The sequence below is a fragment of the Homo sapiens genome, chromosome 3 (genome assembly GCF_000001405.40).
Source record: "Homo sapiens chromosome 3, GRCh38.p14 Primary Assembly".
Classification (NCBI taxonomy): Eukaryota; Metazoa; Chordata; class Mammalia; order Primates; family Hominidae; genus Homo; species Homo sapiens.
This window is the reverse complement of record NC_000003.12, coordinates 33,686,042-33,705,220: the sequence shown is the minus strand read 5'-3', so window position 1 is coordinate 33,705,220 and position 19,179 is coordinate 33,686,042. Positions and strand designations below refer to the sequence as shown.

The 19,179-nt window shown below is 35.8% G+C and overlaps 1 protein-coding gene across 40 annotated transcripts in view, besides 2 other annotated features; it reads left to right on the top strand.

The window, feature by feature from the left end:
* The window catches only part of CLASP2 (cytoplasmic linker associated protein 2), a 222,010-nt gene that overhangs the window by 13,034 nt on the left and 189,797 nt on the right, over positions 1-19,179 (top strand). For 39 of the 40 annotated variants that reach the window (NM_001400406.1, NM_001375705.1, NM_001365634.1 and 36 more), the window contains exons 2-5: positions 8,288-8,366; positions 15,289-15,392; positions 16,853-16,944; positions 18,086-18,161. In NM_001400406.1, coding sequence (NP_001387335.1) covers positions 8,288-8,366; positions 15,289-15,392; positions 16,853-16,944; positions 18,086-18,161 — 351 coding nt within the window. The remainder of the gene's footprint in view (positions 1-8,287; positions 8,367-15,288; positions 15,393-16,852; positions 16,945-18,085; positions 18,162-19,179) is intronic. The other variant, NM_001375713.1, reaches the window with a different exon arrangement.
* Positions 5,598-5,798: a silencer, noted in NCBI's record as "peak4601 fragment used in MPRA reporter construct". NCBI's record gives its function as "represses an SCP1 promoter by STARR-seq MPRAs in K562 erythroleukemia cells {active_cell/tissue: K562}" and the evidence as "EXISTENCE:reporter gene assay evidence [ECO:0000049][PMID:32103011]".
* Positions 7,218-7,418: a silencer, noted in NCBI's record as "peak4600 fragment used in MPRA reporter construct". NCBI's record gives its function as "represses an SCP1 promoter by STARR-seq MPRAs in K562 erythroleukemia cells {active_cell/tissue: K562}" and the evidence as "EXISTENCE:reporter gene assay evidence [ECO:0000049][PMID:32103011]".

Sequence of the window (19,179 nt, the reverse complement as noted above, 5' to 3'; positions counted from 1 at the left end):
ATTTATGGATGAGTAAAATTCTGTTGTATGCATATACTACATTTTGTTTATCTGTGCATCAGTTGGTGGACATGTGGGCTGTTTCCACCTTTGACTATTGTGAATAATGCTGCAGTGAACATTGACGTACAAGTATGTATGGCTGTATCTGTTTGAGTCACTTCCTTTGGGTATATACCTAAGAGTGGAATTCCTGGGCCATGTGGTAAATTTATGTTTAACTTTAGGAGGAACTGCCAAACTGTTTTCTTCAATGGCTGCACCATTTTACATTCCCACCACCAGCATATAAGGGTTCCAATCACTCTACGTCCTTACCAACATTTGACATTTTCCATTTTCCTAGTAGGTGTGAGGTAGTATCTTATTGTGGTTTTGATTTGCATTTCTTTAATGACTAATAATGTTGAGCATCTTTTCATGTGCTTATAAGCCATTCATATATATATATATGTATATATATATTTTTAGACTGCGTCTCCATCTGTCACCCAAGCTGGAGTGCAGTGGTGCAATCTCGGCTCACTGCAACCTCCACCTCCCAGGTTCAAGTGATTCTCCTGCCTCAGCCTCCCAAGTAGCTGGGACTACAGGCGCGTGCCACCATGCCCAGCTAATTTTTTATATTTTTATTAGAGATGGGGTTTCACCGTGTTAGCCAGGATGGTCTCGATCTCCTGACCTCAGGTGATCCACCCGCTTTGGCCTCTCAAAGTGCTGGGATTACAGGCATGAGCCACTGTGCCTGGCTGCCATTTGTATATCTTATTTGGAGAAATGCCTATTCAAGTTCTTTGCCCATTTTTGTTTTTTAATAGGTTTTATTTTTTTAGAGCAGTTTTAGGTTCACAGTAAAATTGAGTAAGAGAGACAGATTTCTCATATGTCCGCCTGCTTCTGCATAATGCACAGCCTCCTCCACTGTCAGCATCCCCTACCAGAGTGATACACTTGTTATAATTGATGAGCCTACATTCACACATCATTATCACTCAAGGTCCACAGTTTACATTAGGCTTCACTCTAAGTGTTGTACATGCTATAGGTTTTGATAAATATACTTAACATTATAGTATTATGCAGAATAGTTTTACTGCCCTAAAAATCCTCTGTGCTCTCCCTAAAACTTCCTCCTTCCCCAATCCCTGGCAGTCACTGATCCTTTTACCATCTCCATAGTTTTGCCTTTTCCAAATGTCATGCAGTTTGACTCCAACAGTATGAAGCGTTTTCAGGCTAACTTCTTTCACTTAATAGCATACATTTAAGATTCTTTCATGTCTTATTCATGCCTTGATAGCTCATTTCCTTTTAGTGCTGAATACTATTCCATTGTCTGAATGTACTACATATTTATCCATTCACCTACTGAGGGACATCTTGGTTGCTTTCAAGTTTGCCAACTGTGAATAAAGTTGCTTTAAACATGAGTGTGGGCTGGGCATGGTGGTGCATGCCTGTAATCCCAGCCCTTTGGGAGGCCAAGGCCAGTGGATTGCTTGAGTCCAGGAGTTCAAGACCAGCTTGGGCAACGTGGTGAAACCCTGCCTCTGCAAAAAACAAAAACAAAAAATATGAGTGTGTAGGTGTTTTATGGACATCAATTTTCAACTCCTTTGGCTAAATACCAAGGAACATGAATGATCATTGGATCATATGGGGGAAAGTATATATAGCTTTGTAAGAAACTGCCAAAATAACTGTACTGTTTTGCATTCCCACCAGTAGTGAATGAGAGTTCCTCTCTCTCCCTACCTTTGTCAGCACTTAGTGTTGTCGGTGAATTGGGTTATGGCCATTTTAATAGGTGTGTAGTGCTATCATAATTTTATTTGCAATTCCTAATGACATACGATGTTGAGAATCTCTTCATGTGCTTATTTGCTGTTTATATATCTTACATCTTTTTTGGTGAGGCACTGTTTGGATCTTTTGCCCATTTTTTGAGTTGTTTATTTTCTTGTTGTTGAGTTTTAAGAGTTCTTTGTATATTTTGCATTACAGTCTTTTATCAGATGTGTATTTTGCAAATATTTTCCCCCAGTCTGTGGTTTGTTTTCCCATTCTGTAGACATCTTCCATAGAACAGAAGTTTTTAATTTTAGTGAAGCCCATCTTAACAGTTATTTCTTTCATGGACCATGCCTTTGGTGTCATATCTAAAAAGACATTGCCACATCAAGGTCAATTAGATTTTTTCTTATGTTATTTTCTAGGAGTTTTATATTTTACATTTAGTTTTATGATCCTTTGAGTTAATTTTTGGTGAAGGGCATAAGGTCTCTGTCTAGATTAATGTTTTGCATGTGGATCTCAGTTGTTGCAGTACCATTTGTTGAAAAGACTATCTTTTCTTCATTATATTGCCTTTGCTTTTTTGTGAGAGATCATTTGATTGTATTCATGTGAGTGTATTTCCAGACTTTCTATTCTTTTCTGTTTGCTCATTTTAAAAAATGGGTTATTTGTCCTTTTACTATTACGTTGTAAAAGTTCTTATGGATACAAGTCCCTTAACAGATATATGTTTTACAATTATTTTCCCCTATTCTGTTGGTTGTCTTTTCACTTTCTTCATCGTGTTTTTTTGAAGACTAGGTGTTTTTAGTTTTGATAAACTCTAATTCTTTTTTTGTTTGTTGTTTATGCTTTTTATGTCCTGTCTAAGAAACCATGGCCAAGGTCACAATGATTTACCCTATGTTTTCTTCTAATAACTATAGAGTTTTAGCTCTTACATTTAGGTTTATGATTCATTTTGAGTTAATTTTTATGTATGGTGTGAGGTAGTGGTCCGCATTCATCCAGTTGTCCTAGTACCATATGTTGAATCATTCCCCCATTGAATGGTCTTGACACCCTTGTTGAAAATCAGTTGCCCATACAAATGTATGGGTTTATTTCTGGACTCTGAGTTCTATTTCATTAATTTATATTTCTCTTCTTGTGCCATTGTCACACTGTCTTGATTACAGAAGCTTTGTAGGATGTTTTGAAATTGGGAAATTTGAGTCTTCCAACTTTTTCTTTTTCAAGCTTGTTTTGACAATTCTGGGCCCCTTGAATTTTCATATGAATTTTAGAATAGGCTTCTTAAACTCTACAGTGAACCCAGTTGGCTATCAGATAAGTATTTTGCAAATATTTTCTCTTAATCTGTGACTGGGTTTTTCATTTTCTTAGCCATGTCTTTTAAACAGCAGAAGTTCTTAGTGAAGTCTGCTTTATCAATTTTTAAAATTTTATGTTGTCTCCAAGAATCTTTTATGTTTTTTTCTTTTATGTTTCTTTTCATGTTGTCTCTAAGAATTATTTGTGTACTCCAGGTGTAAAGATTTTCTCCTGTGTTTTCTTCTAGTAGTTTTATAGTTTTAGGTTTTATGTTTATATCTCATACATTTTTGAGTTGATTTTTGTAAATGATGTGATGTATAGGTTGAGGTTCATTTTTTATTTTGCACATGGATATCCAATTGTAACATCACCATTTATTGAAAAAGTATATTTCTTTCCTTCATTGAATTGCCTTTGCACAGTTGTTGGAGATCAGTTGACTATATATGTGTATGTCTATTTTTGGACTGCCTCTTCTGTTTCATTGATCTATATATTTGTTTGTTCTTTTGAGACAGGGTATTACTCTGTTACCCAGGCTGGAGTGCAGTGGTGCATTCATAGGTCACTACAGCTTCAAACTTTTGGGCTCAAGCAATCCTCCTGCTTCAGCCTCTTGAGTAACTGGTATTATATGCCTGTGCCACCATGGCCAGCTACTTTTAAAATTTTTTGTAGAGACAGGTTCTCGCTATGTTGCCCAGGCAGGTCTCCAGCGATCCTCTTGTCTCAGCCTCCAGAAGTGCTGGGATTACAGGCATGTGCCTCTTACAGCCCCCACATTGTCTTGATTACTGTAGGTTTATATTAAGTCTTCAAATCAGATAATTGCACTGTAACTTCATTTTTCTTACTCAATATTGATATGAGTATTCTAATTCATTTACCTTTCTATATACATTTCAGGATCAGCTTGTCGATTTCTGCATCAAATTCTACTGGAATTTTGATTGGGATTGCATTCACACAAGAACAATTTGTGGGGTTTCAAATCTTTATAATATTAAGTTGTCCAATTCATGAACTTGGTGTATATATGTATGTGTATGTGTGTATATACCATTTATTTAGCTCTTTTTCTATCACTTTCATTAGCATTTTGTGATTTCAGCATGTAGATCTTGGACTTAATTGTTAGAATTATATCTAAGTATTTTGTGATTGTTGTTAGTTTTGTAAATGATACAGTATTTTGAAAATTCCCAATTGTTGAGTGCTGGTCTGTAGGAACACAGTTTGTTTTGTTTTATTTTTTTGAGACGGAGTTTCACTCTTGTCACCCAGGCTAGAGTGCAATGGCGCGATCTCAGCTCACTGTAACCTCTGCCTCCCAGGTTCAAATGATTCTCCTGCCTCGGCCTCCCGAGTAGCTGGGATTACAGGCACCCACCACCACACCTGGCTAATTTTTTTTGTATTTTTTAGTAGAGACAGAGTTTTACCATGTTGGTTGGGCTGGTCTCGAACTCCTGACCTCAGGTGATCTGCCTGCCTCACCCTCCCAAAGTGCTGGGATTACAGGCATGAGCCACCGCACCTGGCCCACAATTGATTTTTTTATAGTGACCTTTTATCTCATGACTTTACTAAACTCAATAGACCTAGTATTTGTTTTAGAGTGTCAGTTAGTTTTTAGAGTAATTAAATACATATATTTTTAAGGTTTTTTTGTTTGTTTGTTTGAGACAGTGTCTTGCTTTGTTGCCAGCTGGAGTGCAGTGACACAATCTCAGCTCACTGCAACCTCTGCCTTCCAAGTTCAGATGATTCTCGTGCCTCAGCCTCCTGAGTAGCTGGGATTACAGGTATGTGCCACCACACCCAGCTAATTTTTGTATTTTTAGTAGAGATGGGGTTTTGCCATGCTGGCCAGGCTGGTCTCGAACTCCTGACCTCAGGTGATCTTCCTGCCTTCCAAAGTGCTGGGGTTACAGGCATGAGCCACTGTTCCCAGCTTATTTTTAAGGTTTTAAATATTTATTTTAATTTCAACTATTTCCTGTTATTTCTTAGTGTAGATCTAAGTTTTTGTCTGCTGTCATGTATTTTTTTCCCTGAAGATTTTCCCTTAACATTTCTTGTGATACAGGTCTCTTGTAATGAATTCTATTAGATTTTGTTTGTTTGAAAAACTTTTTATTTCTCCTTTAGTTTTAAAATGTCTTTTAAAATATCTTTTATTTTAACTAGGTATAGAATTATGAAGCGACAGCATTCTTTTTTTTTTTTTTTTTGGTAGTACAATAATCTGTGGTTTTGCTTTCTACGGTTTCACTTACCTGTGGTCAGTTGTAGTCCCAAAGCAGGTAAGTACAATATAAATTTTAAGAGAGACAAGACACACGTAACTTTTGTTATAGTATATTGTTATGGTTATTATACTTTATTATTGTTAATCTTTTACTGTGCCAAATTTATAAATTAAACTTTATCATAGGTATATATTTGTAGGAAAATTTATATATAGGTCTCAGTACTGTCTGTGGTTTCAGGTATCCACTGGGGTCTTGGGATGTATTACTTAAACAGATAAGGGGGGACTACTATACTGTAACAATGTCATTCCATTGTCTCCTTACTCTCATACTTTTTGGCCGGAAATCTTCTGTACTTGTGTATTTAATGTCCTTTTGTTTTTTTCTCATTGACTTTAAGATTTTTCTTTCCTTTGGTTTTAACAGTTTGAATAGGATGTGTCTTGGTGTTTTTTGGAATTTTCTGTTTGGGGGTTTTCTGAGACTTAGATGTATGGTTTGATGCCTTTCATTATTTTTCCTATATTCTTGGCCATTTTCCCTCCAAATATTTCTTCTACCTTGTTCTCTCTTCTAGAATTCCTATGACATTATGTTGGGCAATTTAGTATTATCCCACTGCTCTTGAATGCTTTGTCTCTCCCCTTCCCTTTTTGTTCCTTTTTGTATTTCAATTTGAGTAATTTGTATGAACGTATTTTCAGATTCCCTGATTCTTTCCTTCTCTGTATCAAATCTTTTGATGAACCCATCAAAGGCATCTTAATCACTTTTACCTTGCTTTTAATGCATTTAAAAAATTATTTGTATTTTGACTCTGCCTTAAAGTTTTGGTCTCTCTGCTGGAATTCCTTTTATTCCTGCATGTTGTTGGCTCTTTTAACTAGAACATTTACTACATTAATCACAGTTATTTAAATGGTCTGATAATTCCAGCTTTCAGATTATCTATGTATTTTGTTCCATGCTTTATTCTTGATATTGGTATTTATCCCTCCTTGCTTTTTTGTGTGTCTCATAATGTGTGGTTGAAAACTGGACAGTGTTTAAGATGTTTAAGAGCAAGTTAAATAGTACTTATGCCTGGAGATGACATGCCTTTTTTCTGCTAAACTTACATATAGTGTGGAGCTATGCAGTCAGTCTAGTCAGGAGTTGAGTTAGGTTTCAATGTTATGATTGCTATAGTTGCTTTAGTTCATATTTGCTTCAGTTTTTTTGTCACTTGGTTAATTTTATGAAGGGTTTTCCTCAAGTTTCTACTCAACTCTGCACTTTAGGTTTTCCCTATTTTCTTGTGCTTCATAGAGGATTCTTCTTCGTGTTCTTGCCCCTTCCCCACTGGTAGACTGCTGTTGCTTCTTATTTCATGCTTGCTGGTCTGGTTGGGGGAAACAGCGTCATTCTTTGTTTTTCTGGTCTAGCTTCAGTCTTAGGAAGCTTTTTGTTCTGAGTCTTGGGGTAAGGCTTTATAAAGACCATGGCTTTCCCCAACTAGAGACCTTTAATTATATGGGCCCCAGGATGTTTTTCTGCTCCTTCCTCTGGGGTAGAAGGCTTTTTATCTTTTTCCTCTCCTTAATAGCATTGAGTTTTACCTGTGCCTTAGGCGTAACAGTGTTTGATATCCTTCACTGAGGAGCTTCAAACTTTTATTTCTTAGCTTCAAGCTTTTGTTTCTTACGGGACAAGGGTACTAGGAGCCTTTGTGCCTTTCCTGCACAGGCAGCGGTTTCCTTCCCCCAGGACTGTACCACCAAGAGATACTTTATCCAATATCCTTCTCAGCCCTTAGTCTTAAGAGTGTCCAGTGGAGGTTTGTGGAGAAAGAGCTTGCAAGTAGGTGTGAACTAGAGCCTGTAAGTAGGTATGAGTTCTCCTTGTGTCTGTGGCTAGTTGTGTTTTCATGCTAGCCCACACTCAGTTGTAAATAGTTTTGTTAAGTATAACTGACTTCTTCTTACCCACTTACATCATGGGTTTATTTTCCTCCTGTCCTCTGTCACATGTGACCTACTGCCTGTGTCCCATGTCTTTGTTTAGATTTCAGGTTAGTTGGTTATTCTCCAGCCTTAGCTTTTTGATGGATTCAAGAACAGTCATGATTTTGTAGACCCAGTGGGCTTTTTCTTGTTAGAATGAGAGGGATATTCTTTCCAGTTTCTACATCCCAGACAGAAGATGAAATTCCTCTGTAATTAAAGAGGCCTACATTTTTAACTGTTACATTTAGGAAACATTTCAAAGTTACAAATATAGTTATGCATACCACATAACAACATTGTGGTCAATGATGGACTGTATATACAATGGTGGTCCCATAAGATTATAATAAAGCTGAAAAATTCCTATTGCCTGGTGACGTCATAATTGTTGCAATGTTGTGCTTGCATTACCTTTTTATGTTTAGGTACGCAAATACCATTGTATTATCAGTTGCCTAGAGTATTTTGCACAGTAACATACTGTACAGGTAGTAGCCTAGGAGCAATAGGATATACCATATAGCTTAGGTTTGTAGTAGGCTATACTGTCTAGGTGTAAATGCACTCTGATGTTTGCACAATAACAAAATTACCTGATGATACATTTGTTAGAATTTATCCCTGTCATTAAGTGATGCATGACTGTAGAGTCAGTAAACTCCTGTGTGACCTTTGTCTAATTTACTAGTTAGCATTGTGCCAAATATGCTTTATTGCTATCTTCCTGTTTACACGTTATTATTGTTGTTTTTATTGTTGAATCATTTGAGATTAGGGTGCTTAACCTCATGACTGTTTACCCTTGAATACTTAAATCTCATTTTTAAAAAATGTAATATATTTATGAAGATCTTTTATATGTCAAAAATTAAATACTGATATTAAAGTATGCATCAGTAATTTATATTCATTAAAATCCCTTTTTATCTGTAGGTATCATTAATGGGATTGGAAATTTTAAGTGCCTTTGTGGACAGATTATCAACACGCTTTAAATCCTATGTAGCAATGGGTAAGTTAACTTTGTTTATTTACAATTCTAAATAAGATTTGACATGATGACTTTTTTCGTTAGTTTTTATTTAGCAGAAATAGTTCTCTGTAAATTAAAAAAATGTAATTTCTGTAATCCCAGCACTTTGGGAGGCCGAGGCAGGCAGATCACCAAAGGTCAGAAGTTTGAGACCAGCCTGGCCAACATGGCAAAACCGTGTCTCTACAAAAAATACAAAAATTAGCCAGGTGTGATGGCGTGTGCCTGTAATCCCAGCTACTTGGGAGGCTGAGGCAGGAGAATCTCTTGAACCTAGGAGGTGGAGGTTGCAGTGAGCTGAGATCATGCCACTGCACTCCAGCCTGGGTGACAGAGCAAGACTCTGTCTCAAAAAAAAAAAAAAAAGTAATGTTATGTAACCCAGAGATCTGCTACTTAGCATTTCAGTTTACCCAGAGACAAGGTTTTAAACTTACTTAAATCACCTTTGAGGCAAAAAAAAAAAAAAAAAAAAAAAAAGAAAGAAAGAAAATTGTTTTTACTGGATCTTTTACTATTTTGTGAAATGCCACAATTTGTAATATAACTTACAGTGCCATGTTTCAGACTATTTATGGGGAAGGATCAGTTTCTTCATTGCCAGCATGTTGCAGACCAATATTTTATAAAATACAATAAGAATAAATTATAGCAAAATTAAATGAAAAAAAAAACAAGACCCAATTTTTTATCATTAGATGCAACAAACAAAATTTCTTTGGTCAAATTGCTTTAAAAACATTTTCTAAGTACTCTAAATTTCCTTATCATAGACAGTCTGTAGATTGATCCTAGGCTGTAGATCATACTTTGAATAGCACTTACTTACAGTGTGTTTGTAGTACAGTGCATATGGTAGGATAATGCTCTTCTTTGTATGGTTATTAGGATTACAAAGTTGGCTCTGACTTATTTTCTAAACCCAAATGACCTTCATGTACCTTTAGAGTATGTTATAAGTGGATTTGATCCTATTATATAGCAGCATTATATAGCATATAGAAGGGTAGCCTCAGATGTTAGTGATTTTCTTTGCTTTTTTCTTTTGTATTTTAAAATAGAGATGGGGTGTTGTTATGTTACCCAGGCTGGTCTTGAATTCCTGGGCTCAAGCAGTCCTCTCACCTCGGCCTCCCAAAGTGTTAGCATTATAGGCATGAACCACCATGCCTGGCCAGTGATTTTCTTTTGTGGATTAAGTTAATGCCTCCTAATATCAGTATATCATCACATTTAACTTTTTGATATGTTTGGTTAACTTTTTTCTTCATGTTTGGTATGCTACCTACCATTCTGTCAGTTTTTTCTTTTATTTTCTAGTTATCTTTTCAACAGAAGCATCTGATGGGGTTTCCTATCTTTATTATTTAGTTTTAATCAACACCAGGTTCCACTTCATCCTTTGTGTTAATATTTTCTGAAAAGATTTTTTTTTTTAAGCTGTTAGTCTCCCCTTACAACTCTATAGTAGGCCCATGGACTCACTGGCTCACACCTGTAATCCCAACAGTTTAGGAGGCTAAGGTAGGAGGATTGCTTGAGGACAGGAGTTTGAGACCAGCCTGGGCAATAGAGTGAGACCATGTTTCTACCAAAAAAAAAAAAAAAAAAAATTAGCAGGCTTACTGGTGTGTGCCTGTAGTCCTAGCTACTCTGAAGGCTGAGATGGGAGGTTGGGCCCAGGATTTCAAGGTTACAATGAACTAAGATTGCACCACCAAGCCCTGGGCAACAGAGTAAACCTCTATCTCTTTAAAAAAAAAAAAAAAACTATAGTAGATATTGAAAACTGCTCTGCAAGTATTTTACTTGTTTATGTTTTGTTTCTTTCTTTCTCTCACTGTCTCTGTCTGTCTCTTTATTTTCTTTCCTTCCTTTGTTTTTCTTTTTTGAGATGGGATCTTGCTCTGTCACCCAGGCTGGAGTGCAGTAGTATGATCGTGGCTCACTGCAGCCTCAGCCTCCTCAACACTCAAGTGATCCTCCCACCTCAGCCTCCTGAGTAGCTGGGACCACAGGTGTGAGCCACCATGCCCAGCCTGTATTTTCTTAAAATATTTTGAATCAGTGTTTAAAATTGAGAAGTTTTACATGAAAATTCTTATTTCTGGCTTGTCTCAAGAAATTGCCTAATGTAGTGATGCTGATCAGAAGTTGCTTTGTAGTTTCTCCTGTGTCTAGGTGATGATCTTTCCAATTCGTAAAACCTCCTCCACCCCCAAAATCCTCTTGTCTCTTCGTAACTGAGAAAGTTAGGTATGATATGGTAAGGTTGGAATACTGCACTTCTTAAACTGGCTCAATTTCAGCATTTCCTGTGTCTCCTTGACCATAAACATTTGTGTTTGTGACTGTTGCCCTGTAGTAGCTCCCTGTTATTAATTGCTACAGAGAAAATTTAGACTTAAGAATAGTTCTAGGTATTATGTATCTCACTTATTTTTCAGACACCAGGAGTACCACATGGGGTTTTATGTACTGACTACACTCATATTGAGGCAATGGGAATATTGGAACCAGAATTCTAGTTTGACTCCCAACACTGCCCTCCTTTCAGAACTTAATTCTCTTAAGCTGTCTTTTACCATATATGTTCCTTCTCCATCTCAGTAGACTTTTTCTTTGTAATCTTTAGCAAGTACTTTGTCTTCACTCTAAGCTAATCAGAAACTTGCTCACTCTTTCTAGGCCTAGCTGAACTTGTTTGTGCATCTGCTGTGCCCTTATTTCGTTTTGAAATCTTCCCCTCTTCTCCATGGTCCTTTCTTTCCCTTCTAAAAATGTACTTCAGATTTGAGAATCTCAGGAATTTTCAGGTTAACCTCACCCCACATTGAATTTTTCTTTACTCTGTGATTCTTAATACAGTTAAATACTTAATAAATTACATTAACTTACTTTTGTTGGTTAGTGTTTTTCATTTGTATTTGTGCAACTAGATGGCACATGTTCACACACTCTTATGTATGTATAGTTTTTCCTTTTAATCTCCTATTCTTTCTGTTATCCCTGTGCATTTACTGTCAGTCAATATTGTTTTCACTTTGAATCATAAGTGCTCATCATTTTCCTTAATGAAACTTGAACTTGTTATTACTTTAGGGTAATATACAGTGTGGTATAATAGGAAAATTTTATCACAGCTTTGCTATCAATTAATTGAATGCCTACTTTTTACCCATTTTTGCCTATTTACCTTTTACCCTTTTACTACTTTACATACATGAAAGATTATCCTCACTTCATTTCTAATTTGTAGAACAGCTCTGCAAGATTGGCAGCATACCTATGTGCTCTTAGAGAGGTATGGAACTGGACTAAGAGTCCCAGAGTTAGCTTTTTGGTTTTATCTGTGTTACAGAACTTAGCCAGATCTCTTTAGGAGTCTTTCTGTAAAAGGAAGGAGTTGAATTGAATTATGTCTGGAAGGTTTTTTGATAATCTAACTGTAGATATATATAACTTGATTTGAGAGATAATGTTTAGTTTTGGTGCACTCGGGTTATTAGTTATCATTACATGTATTTTTAATATTCTTTTACGTTAAAAGTGAGAAGTGTTTTAGGAAAATTGAGATTCATTTTTGGTTTTAGATACAGTTCCAAAAAGAGTATGAGCTCTATTAATGTAATTCTTAAATATATGATCTATATACATAGTATTAATAATAGAAAATATTTGTTTCCTTTTGTGACCACATATATTGTGGAAAAATATAATTTTCAAACAAAAAATATGCAATTTACATTTAATATTGATCACCAGCCCTGGTTTTATAACTGATTCAGTAAAGGATCTCATATCTTATAAATTTTGTAAACTATTTTAAAATTTTAAACAATTTTAACCCAAAATGTTATTGTAGAAGGAATACAAGAATAATTAGGCTACCCGGTTATCACTTTTTTAGAATGGTTTGCATCTTGTACGAAGCTAAAAGAAAAAAAAATACTAAGAGTTACGTTTCAGACTTCTTCCATGTGTCATTGTCCAAATTCCAGTCTGTGATAGATTGATTCATTTGTTTAACACATTCATATGGAGAGCCTATTGAGTGAAAAATTCTGTTCTGGATACCCAATAAATATTTGTTGAATATTCATCATATTAAATGATAATTCAATGATCATGGGCTTGGTACAGGTGCTTTTTCCTTATTTTACTTCATCCTGTCACTAGTCATGTGAGGTATAGTTCTGTCATCCTTCCGTATTTTACAGACAAGGAAACTTTGAAGTTCAGGGAATTTTCTGTTTTGTAATTAGTAACTGGTAGAGTTAGGAATACAGTCTTGTTCTATTTGACTTCAAGGTAGTATGTGTTAAAAAGCGATCCAGTGCAAAAACAGTATGAATTTCTTGTTTAAATTATTAGCTGTAATAATTTTATGTAATGTGAAGTTTTTTGTTTTTGTTTATGTTTCGTAAAATGGTTTTTAATATTAAAGTGAGCCCCTGTTTGGGCCAACATTTGAATTTTCTTGTTGGAGTTAAATTTCACCTCTCAGGAATGAAGTGTCTTTTCTTTTTCCATTATTGTTATATGGTTGTTAAAATATGCACACACACTCAAACACCTCAAATTATAAGTAAATGGAAAATGGAGATGGTTATGACTTTGATCACACATTGTATAGATATTTATTTATTTATTTATTATTTTTTTGAGACACTGTCTTACTCTGTTGCCTAGATTGGAGTGCAGTGGTGTGATCTTAGCTTACTGCAGCCTCTGCCTCCTGGGCTCAAACCATCCTCCCACCACAGCCTCCCAAGTAGCTGGGCTACAGACACGCATCATCACGCTCGGCTAATTTTTATAGTTTTAGTGGAGATGGGATTTTGTCATTTTGGCCAGGCTGATCTCAAACTCCTGGCCCCAAGTGATCCACTTGCCTTGGCCTCCCAAAGTGCTGGGATTACAGGTGAGAGCCACTGCACCTGGCCAGTATAAATTATTAAAAACCTGGTTTCACTACTTGTTGTTTGCATGACCTTGGATAAGTTATTTAATCCTGCTGTGCCTTCTCTATCAAATGGGCCTACTCTGTTTCATAGGACTGTTGCAAGGATTAAATGAGATAATTCAGTGGTTAGTGCATAATAATATCTAACATTTGTTAAGTGTTTACTATTGTCTTCTGCCTTTCAGAAGCTATCAGAACCAGAAGCCCATAATGGCCAACCTTATAGATGTTGATAAATTCTTCTAGTGTTAACAGTACATCCAAGATGTATGAGAAGAATTTATATTGTTCCTATTGATGAACGTTGCCTCATAATTAGACTTATGATTCTTATGTTGAGGACATTGATTTCTTACACAATCATTTCTGTGATTAAGCTTAATATCTTTCCATTTGGCATGTTGCCTTCTCACTCTAGTCATTTTTTTTCCCAAAAAGAATGTAATTTCTTTTTTCTTTAACTCTTGTTCATTACTATATCAGTTTTGGTTATTACATTATAGATAATAGATTGGCTTCAAATTATATACACATTTAATTATATGTGTCTATAAATAAACCAGGGAAATATTTTTCTTGATCTGTTTCTTTCTCCTTCCCTTGTTTAAACTAGACTTAGTCCTCCGTTGATTCAGAGAAAGAAAAGCTATGTAGTAGTCCCCCATTATCTTCAGGGGCTGTGTTCCAAGACCCCCAGTGGATTCCTGAAGCCTCCGATAGTCCAAACCAGTCCATGACCTGTTAGGAACTGGGCTGCATAGCAGGAGATGAGTGGCCAGCAAGTGAGCATTACCACCTGAGCTCTGCCTCCTGTCACATCAGCCACAGCATTCGATTCTCAAAGGAGCACGAACCCTATTGTGAACTGTGCATATTGAGGGATCTAGATTGTGCACTCTTTATGATGCCTGATCCCAAAACCATCCTCCCCACCCCCTGCCACTGTGGAAAAATTGTCTTCCACAGAACCAATCCCTGATGCCAAGAAGACTGGGGACTGCTGCTATACATGCGATGTGTTTTTGATCTGATAACCAAAACAGCTACTAAGGGACTAATAGGCAGGTAGCATGAACAGTGCGGGTATGTTGGACAAAGGAAGGATTCACATCCCATACCGAATGGAGCGGGACAGTCCAAGAATTCATCATGCTACTCAGAATGGTGCACAATTTAAAACTTATGAGTTGTTTATTTCTAGAATTCTCCATATAATATTTTCAGACCACAGTTGGCCATGGGTAACTGAAACCACAGAAAGTAAAGCTGTGGATAAGGGGGGACTACTGTATAGCTGTAATATCAAAAGAGAAACAAGGCAAATTTTCTTGCTTTTGAACATGCAGAATGATGATAGTGATAGTGATAGTAGGTGGCATATTATAGAAAGTGCTTACTCTGTGCCCTTTACTCTTTGAGTTGTTTATGTGTATTATTTTTTAATTTTCAATAATCCTCTGAGATGAGTACTGCTACCCACATTTACGGCTGAGGAAATAGACAAAAGGTGTCTAAAAAATAGACATTTGGTCACACACCTAGTACGACCACACTAAATGGTAGTGGTAATTTAAGGGATTACAGGAAGATAATTTTGACTATGAGATACTTTGGCCCTATGAACTGACTTTAGAACCTGTTCCCTTTGAATTCTACTTCCTCCTTGTCCCCTCGTCTATACATTTCTCTGAGAAAAATAATATTTAGTTTTGCTGTTTTTTTAACATTATTATAAGGAGATATCATGCTGCATGTATTCTTGTGAAACTGCTCAGTTATTTTTTATTGGATTCATGTGTAAAGAACTTAAAACAATTTCTTTACCTCACAACTCTTCATTTATGGAAACAATTGCTATTTGTAATTTTGAAAAATATAGTTTTTAATGGAGATGAGTTATAAGTAATTACTCTTTTACTCCCTCCCCTTCTTTAGTTATTGTAGCTTTAATAGACAGAATGGGAGATGCCAAAGACAAGGTTCGAGATGAAGCTCAGACTCTGATATTGAAGTTAATGGATCAAGTAGCACCACCTATGGTAAGCCTACATTTTAAAATTCAGATTTTGCTAATGGTAATCACAGGAAATCATTAAAGCCACAGCAAGCATGAACACTGAAATTTTAAGCAATGATTTGTTGCTAATACTGTTAAGAAGTTGATATTTAAGATACAGTGTCAATGTTTGACTTTCTGGTTTTTTGCTTCTGATTCTTATTTTGTACTCTTAATGCTTTTTTTTTAAAAGCTAACTAATAGATTTCAGTGATTTGACAGTATACGGATTATGTTATACTTTAGGATTTTTTGGTTTCTCTTTTTTGTAAATTATAAAATGTTTATTGAGAAAGCTTATTTTGAGAACACTGAATGCTATATTGTTCATTTCTGCAACTCCTACAGAGAGCAGAAGAAAATTTTTTCACAGGTGGTTACTATGTTTTCCCAAATATTTTATATTTCAGAACTAATTTTTTTTTTTTTAAATATTGTGGTGGGTATCCTTCCACTCTCGTTTATTCATTTACATTTTAGGTTGTTTTTGGCTTTCTGTGACTACAAACAGTACCATAAGGGGCATCCCTTGTACTTCTATCTTTGAACATAAATATAGGTATTTATATGGAATAGCATTCCTGAGGTAGTATTGGTGAGTCAGGTTACTCACATTTAAGATTTTTTTTTTTTTTGTAATTTCTTAAGCCACCTTCTTGAAAGTTTGGTAGGGAGAGAGAAATATATTAATAGAACTGAATACAGACTCCAGAAAGAATACTGAGTACCGAAAGAGGATGGCTGTGTATGTTGTATATTTGAATTTAGTAAAGGGTAAAGGTGGTGTTTCCAAATGTGGAGAAAGGATTGATTGGTACAGTTGGCTTTACGTTTGTAAAAATAAAGTTGGATTTCTTGTTACGCCCAGAATAATTGGTTTAGATTATTTGTATAGGTTTATCTATGCTTTTTCTAACAGAAAAGTGTGGTAGGTAGCTATAAAATGAATTGCCCAAATACGTCTCTGAATTTGGATCCAGCATTAAAAGGAAAAAAGTCTGAATTATAAAATGTCCAAAAAAAAAGCGCCTGTTCCATGTGAGTCTATATTAGTTGCTAGGCAATGTTGGACCACTTAAATACTTACTGGACTGCTGGACTTATAATGGCAGCATTGTTATTGAAGGTTTCTTAATTATAGAAGAAATCCTGTGTCCTTGGAAATTCTAAGGTTTTCAGTTGTTGGACATGGTTCTTCTGAGAATATCAAAATCTAAAGTGAAATATATATAAGTACTAAAATGTGATTAAGGTAATAAAAATGGGTGAGAGCAATTGTGTAATTTGGCTTAGAAAAACTTGTAAGTAGTGGAGAAATGAACAACAGTCTGATGAAAACATTCAGTTACCGATAAGGTTGGTAGTAAGATTGGGAAGAAATAAAAGATTATAACATGAATAATTTAGTTTTTTGTTATACGTTTTTACTTTTCTTTCAAATAGTACATTTGGGAGCAGTTGGCTTCTGGTTTTAAACACAAGAATTTTCGATCTCGAGAAGGCGTGTGTCTGTGTCTTATTGAAACCTTAAACATGTAAGTTTTATGATTACTGAAAATAACTGTCTTGTTTTTTATTTCTCTAAAAAAAACCTCAGTTCACAAAGTCAAGGAAAGCTATGGTAATAACACATTTAAAATTATTAAAGCATATAACTTCATTTGATACCTTTACTGTTCATTTTTTGTGTATGTTATCTTTCATGTTCTTAATTTTTCAGTTATGTCAGTAATAAGTGTTTCTCTTTTTTTCTTTAGTATGTTAATAGTAGCCACCCAAAACAGATGGTCATGGAACTGATATGCTGATAACTTAGTATCTACTTCTGTTCTGGATTGAATTTGGAATTGCTTTTAATTCAATGATATTTCACATATTATAGTCATTTCCCATCCCCACCCTACCCCTAGAGCAGTGTGGGTGGGTACCAGAATCATAGACCAAGCAAAACTTTCCCAGGTAACTGGACAGTGAGGCTGGTAGCTGTGTGTAGAGTTCTGGCTGCCGTAGTTGCCACAGAACTATGACTCTGATCTGAAAAAATGCTAGGACTTTTGTTCTTGCTGTGGATTATTTTTTTAGGTTCTATGCAATGTCATAGGTCATATGTAGTAGCTTTCAGCTTTTCCTATAGTGCTACTTCCTTTTCTTAACTATATTTTCACTTATTTTCTTTTATTACTTTATAGTCCTTTCTGCCCTCTAGAGCCTATAAGTGTACTCAGTCTGCACAGCTCTTTGTGCTGGGTTTTGGCTCTCCTGCCATAAGCATAAAGATCTTTTAATTTACTTATTTCATTGGAATGCATTTATTTGAGACCAGAGTCTAAAAAAATCACAATTTTAAAAGTGAAAACTCTGATTTTCTTAAGTTATTCATAGGTTGCTAGGTTTAAGAGTGCCATTGTTGAACATTTTAATCTATTAGAGTATGTGTTGTCTTCACTGTCAGTTGTGATTATTCAGGTTTGCATACTACATTGCTTAGAATTATTTTTTGCTACATTGCTTAGAATTATTTTTTGCTTATGTCTCATATCCTTCATGTTTTAATGATGTGTGCCCATCCTGTCCACTATATTTGTTATATTGCTACAGACAAGAAGGTATAAGGATATTTTGTTTACTGTTTATTAAAAACAAATTTTCTTTATTTTTTTCTCAAATTATATTTAGTTTTGGGGCTCAGCCACTAGTCATCAGCAAATTGATACCACATTTGTGTATCCTGTTTGGAGACTCCAACAGTCAGGTAAAATTTTATTTACATTCAAGCATTGACTGATTTTTTGGCTACCATTTCTTTTCTAGTCCTCTTATTCTATTTTTAAAAAAGAAGAGAGAGGGTGGAGGGGGATGCTGAAATCAAGATTTTACCTCATTAAAAAAAATCCATCAAAGTTAGTTTTTAAAAACATTATATTCATGAAAGTTGCTTATGTTTGTCAGTTGTTTGGCTAGTAGTAAGGACAGATGGGACTTAATGGTTAGTTCTTGAGTGTGAGAGACTGAGTAACAAAGAGCTTCGATTCCCTGCTACAGTCTACCTGTATGTTAATTGTGGGCACAGATTGTCAGCTTCCTTTGGTTATTGCTGAAATTGGCTGCATAACATTTTGCAATTGTAAGAACCCTACTTAACAGAGAGGATTTATATCAGTGGTATATCAGTTATTAGAAACTTTTTTATCTGAACTGTCTATACCAGCGGCCCCCAACCTTTTTGGCACCAGGGACAGTTTTTCCATGGGCGGGGTAGGGATGGTTTTGGGATGAAACTGTTCTACCTCAGATCATCAGGTATTAGTTAGATTCTCATAAGGAGTATGCGACCTAGATCCCCTCGCATGCACAGTTCAAAATAGGGTTTGTGCTTCTATGAGAATCTAATGCTGCCACCGATCTGACAGGAGGTAGAGTTCAGGCGGTAAAGCTTGCTTCCCTGCTGCTCACCTCCTGTTGTGGTCCTTGAACAGGCTATGAACCCATATGAGTCCATGGCCTGGGGCTTGGGGATCCCTGGTCTATACTATAGGTATAATACAGGGATGTGTTCTGGTTCATGTCCCTCATGGTGAACTTGAATCTTGACTGTAACCTTTTGGCTCAGCTTGGCGATTTGGAGTGACCTCAGGAAAGATTTTCCCTTCTTTTAGATCCTACCTGCTCTGAAGACGTTTGCAGAGAATTCTACTGTCTCTTCAGTTGCTATTTCACAATGAGCTGTGCAAGGGAACTAGAGCTACCTTTCAAATTCCTGTATTCAGACC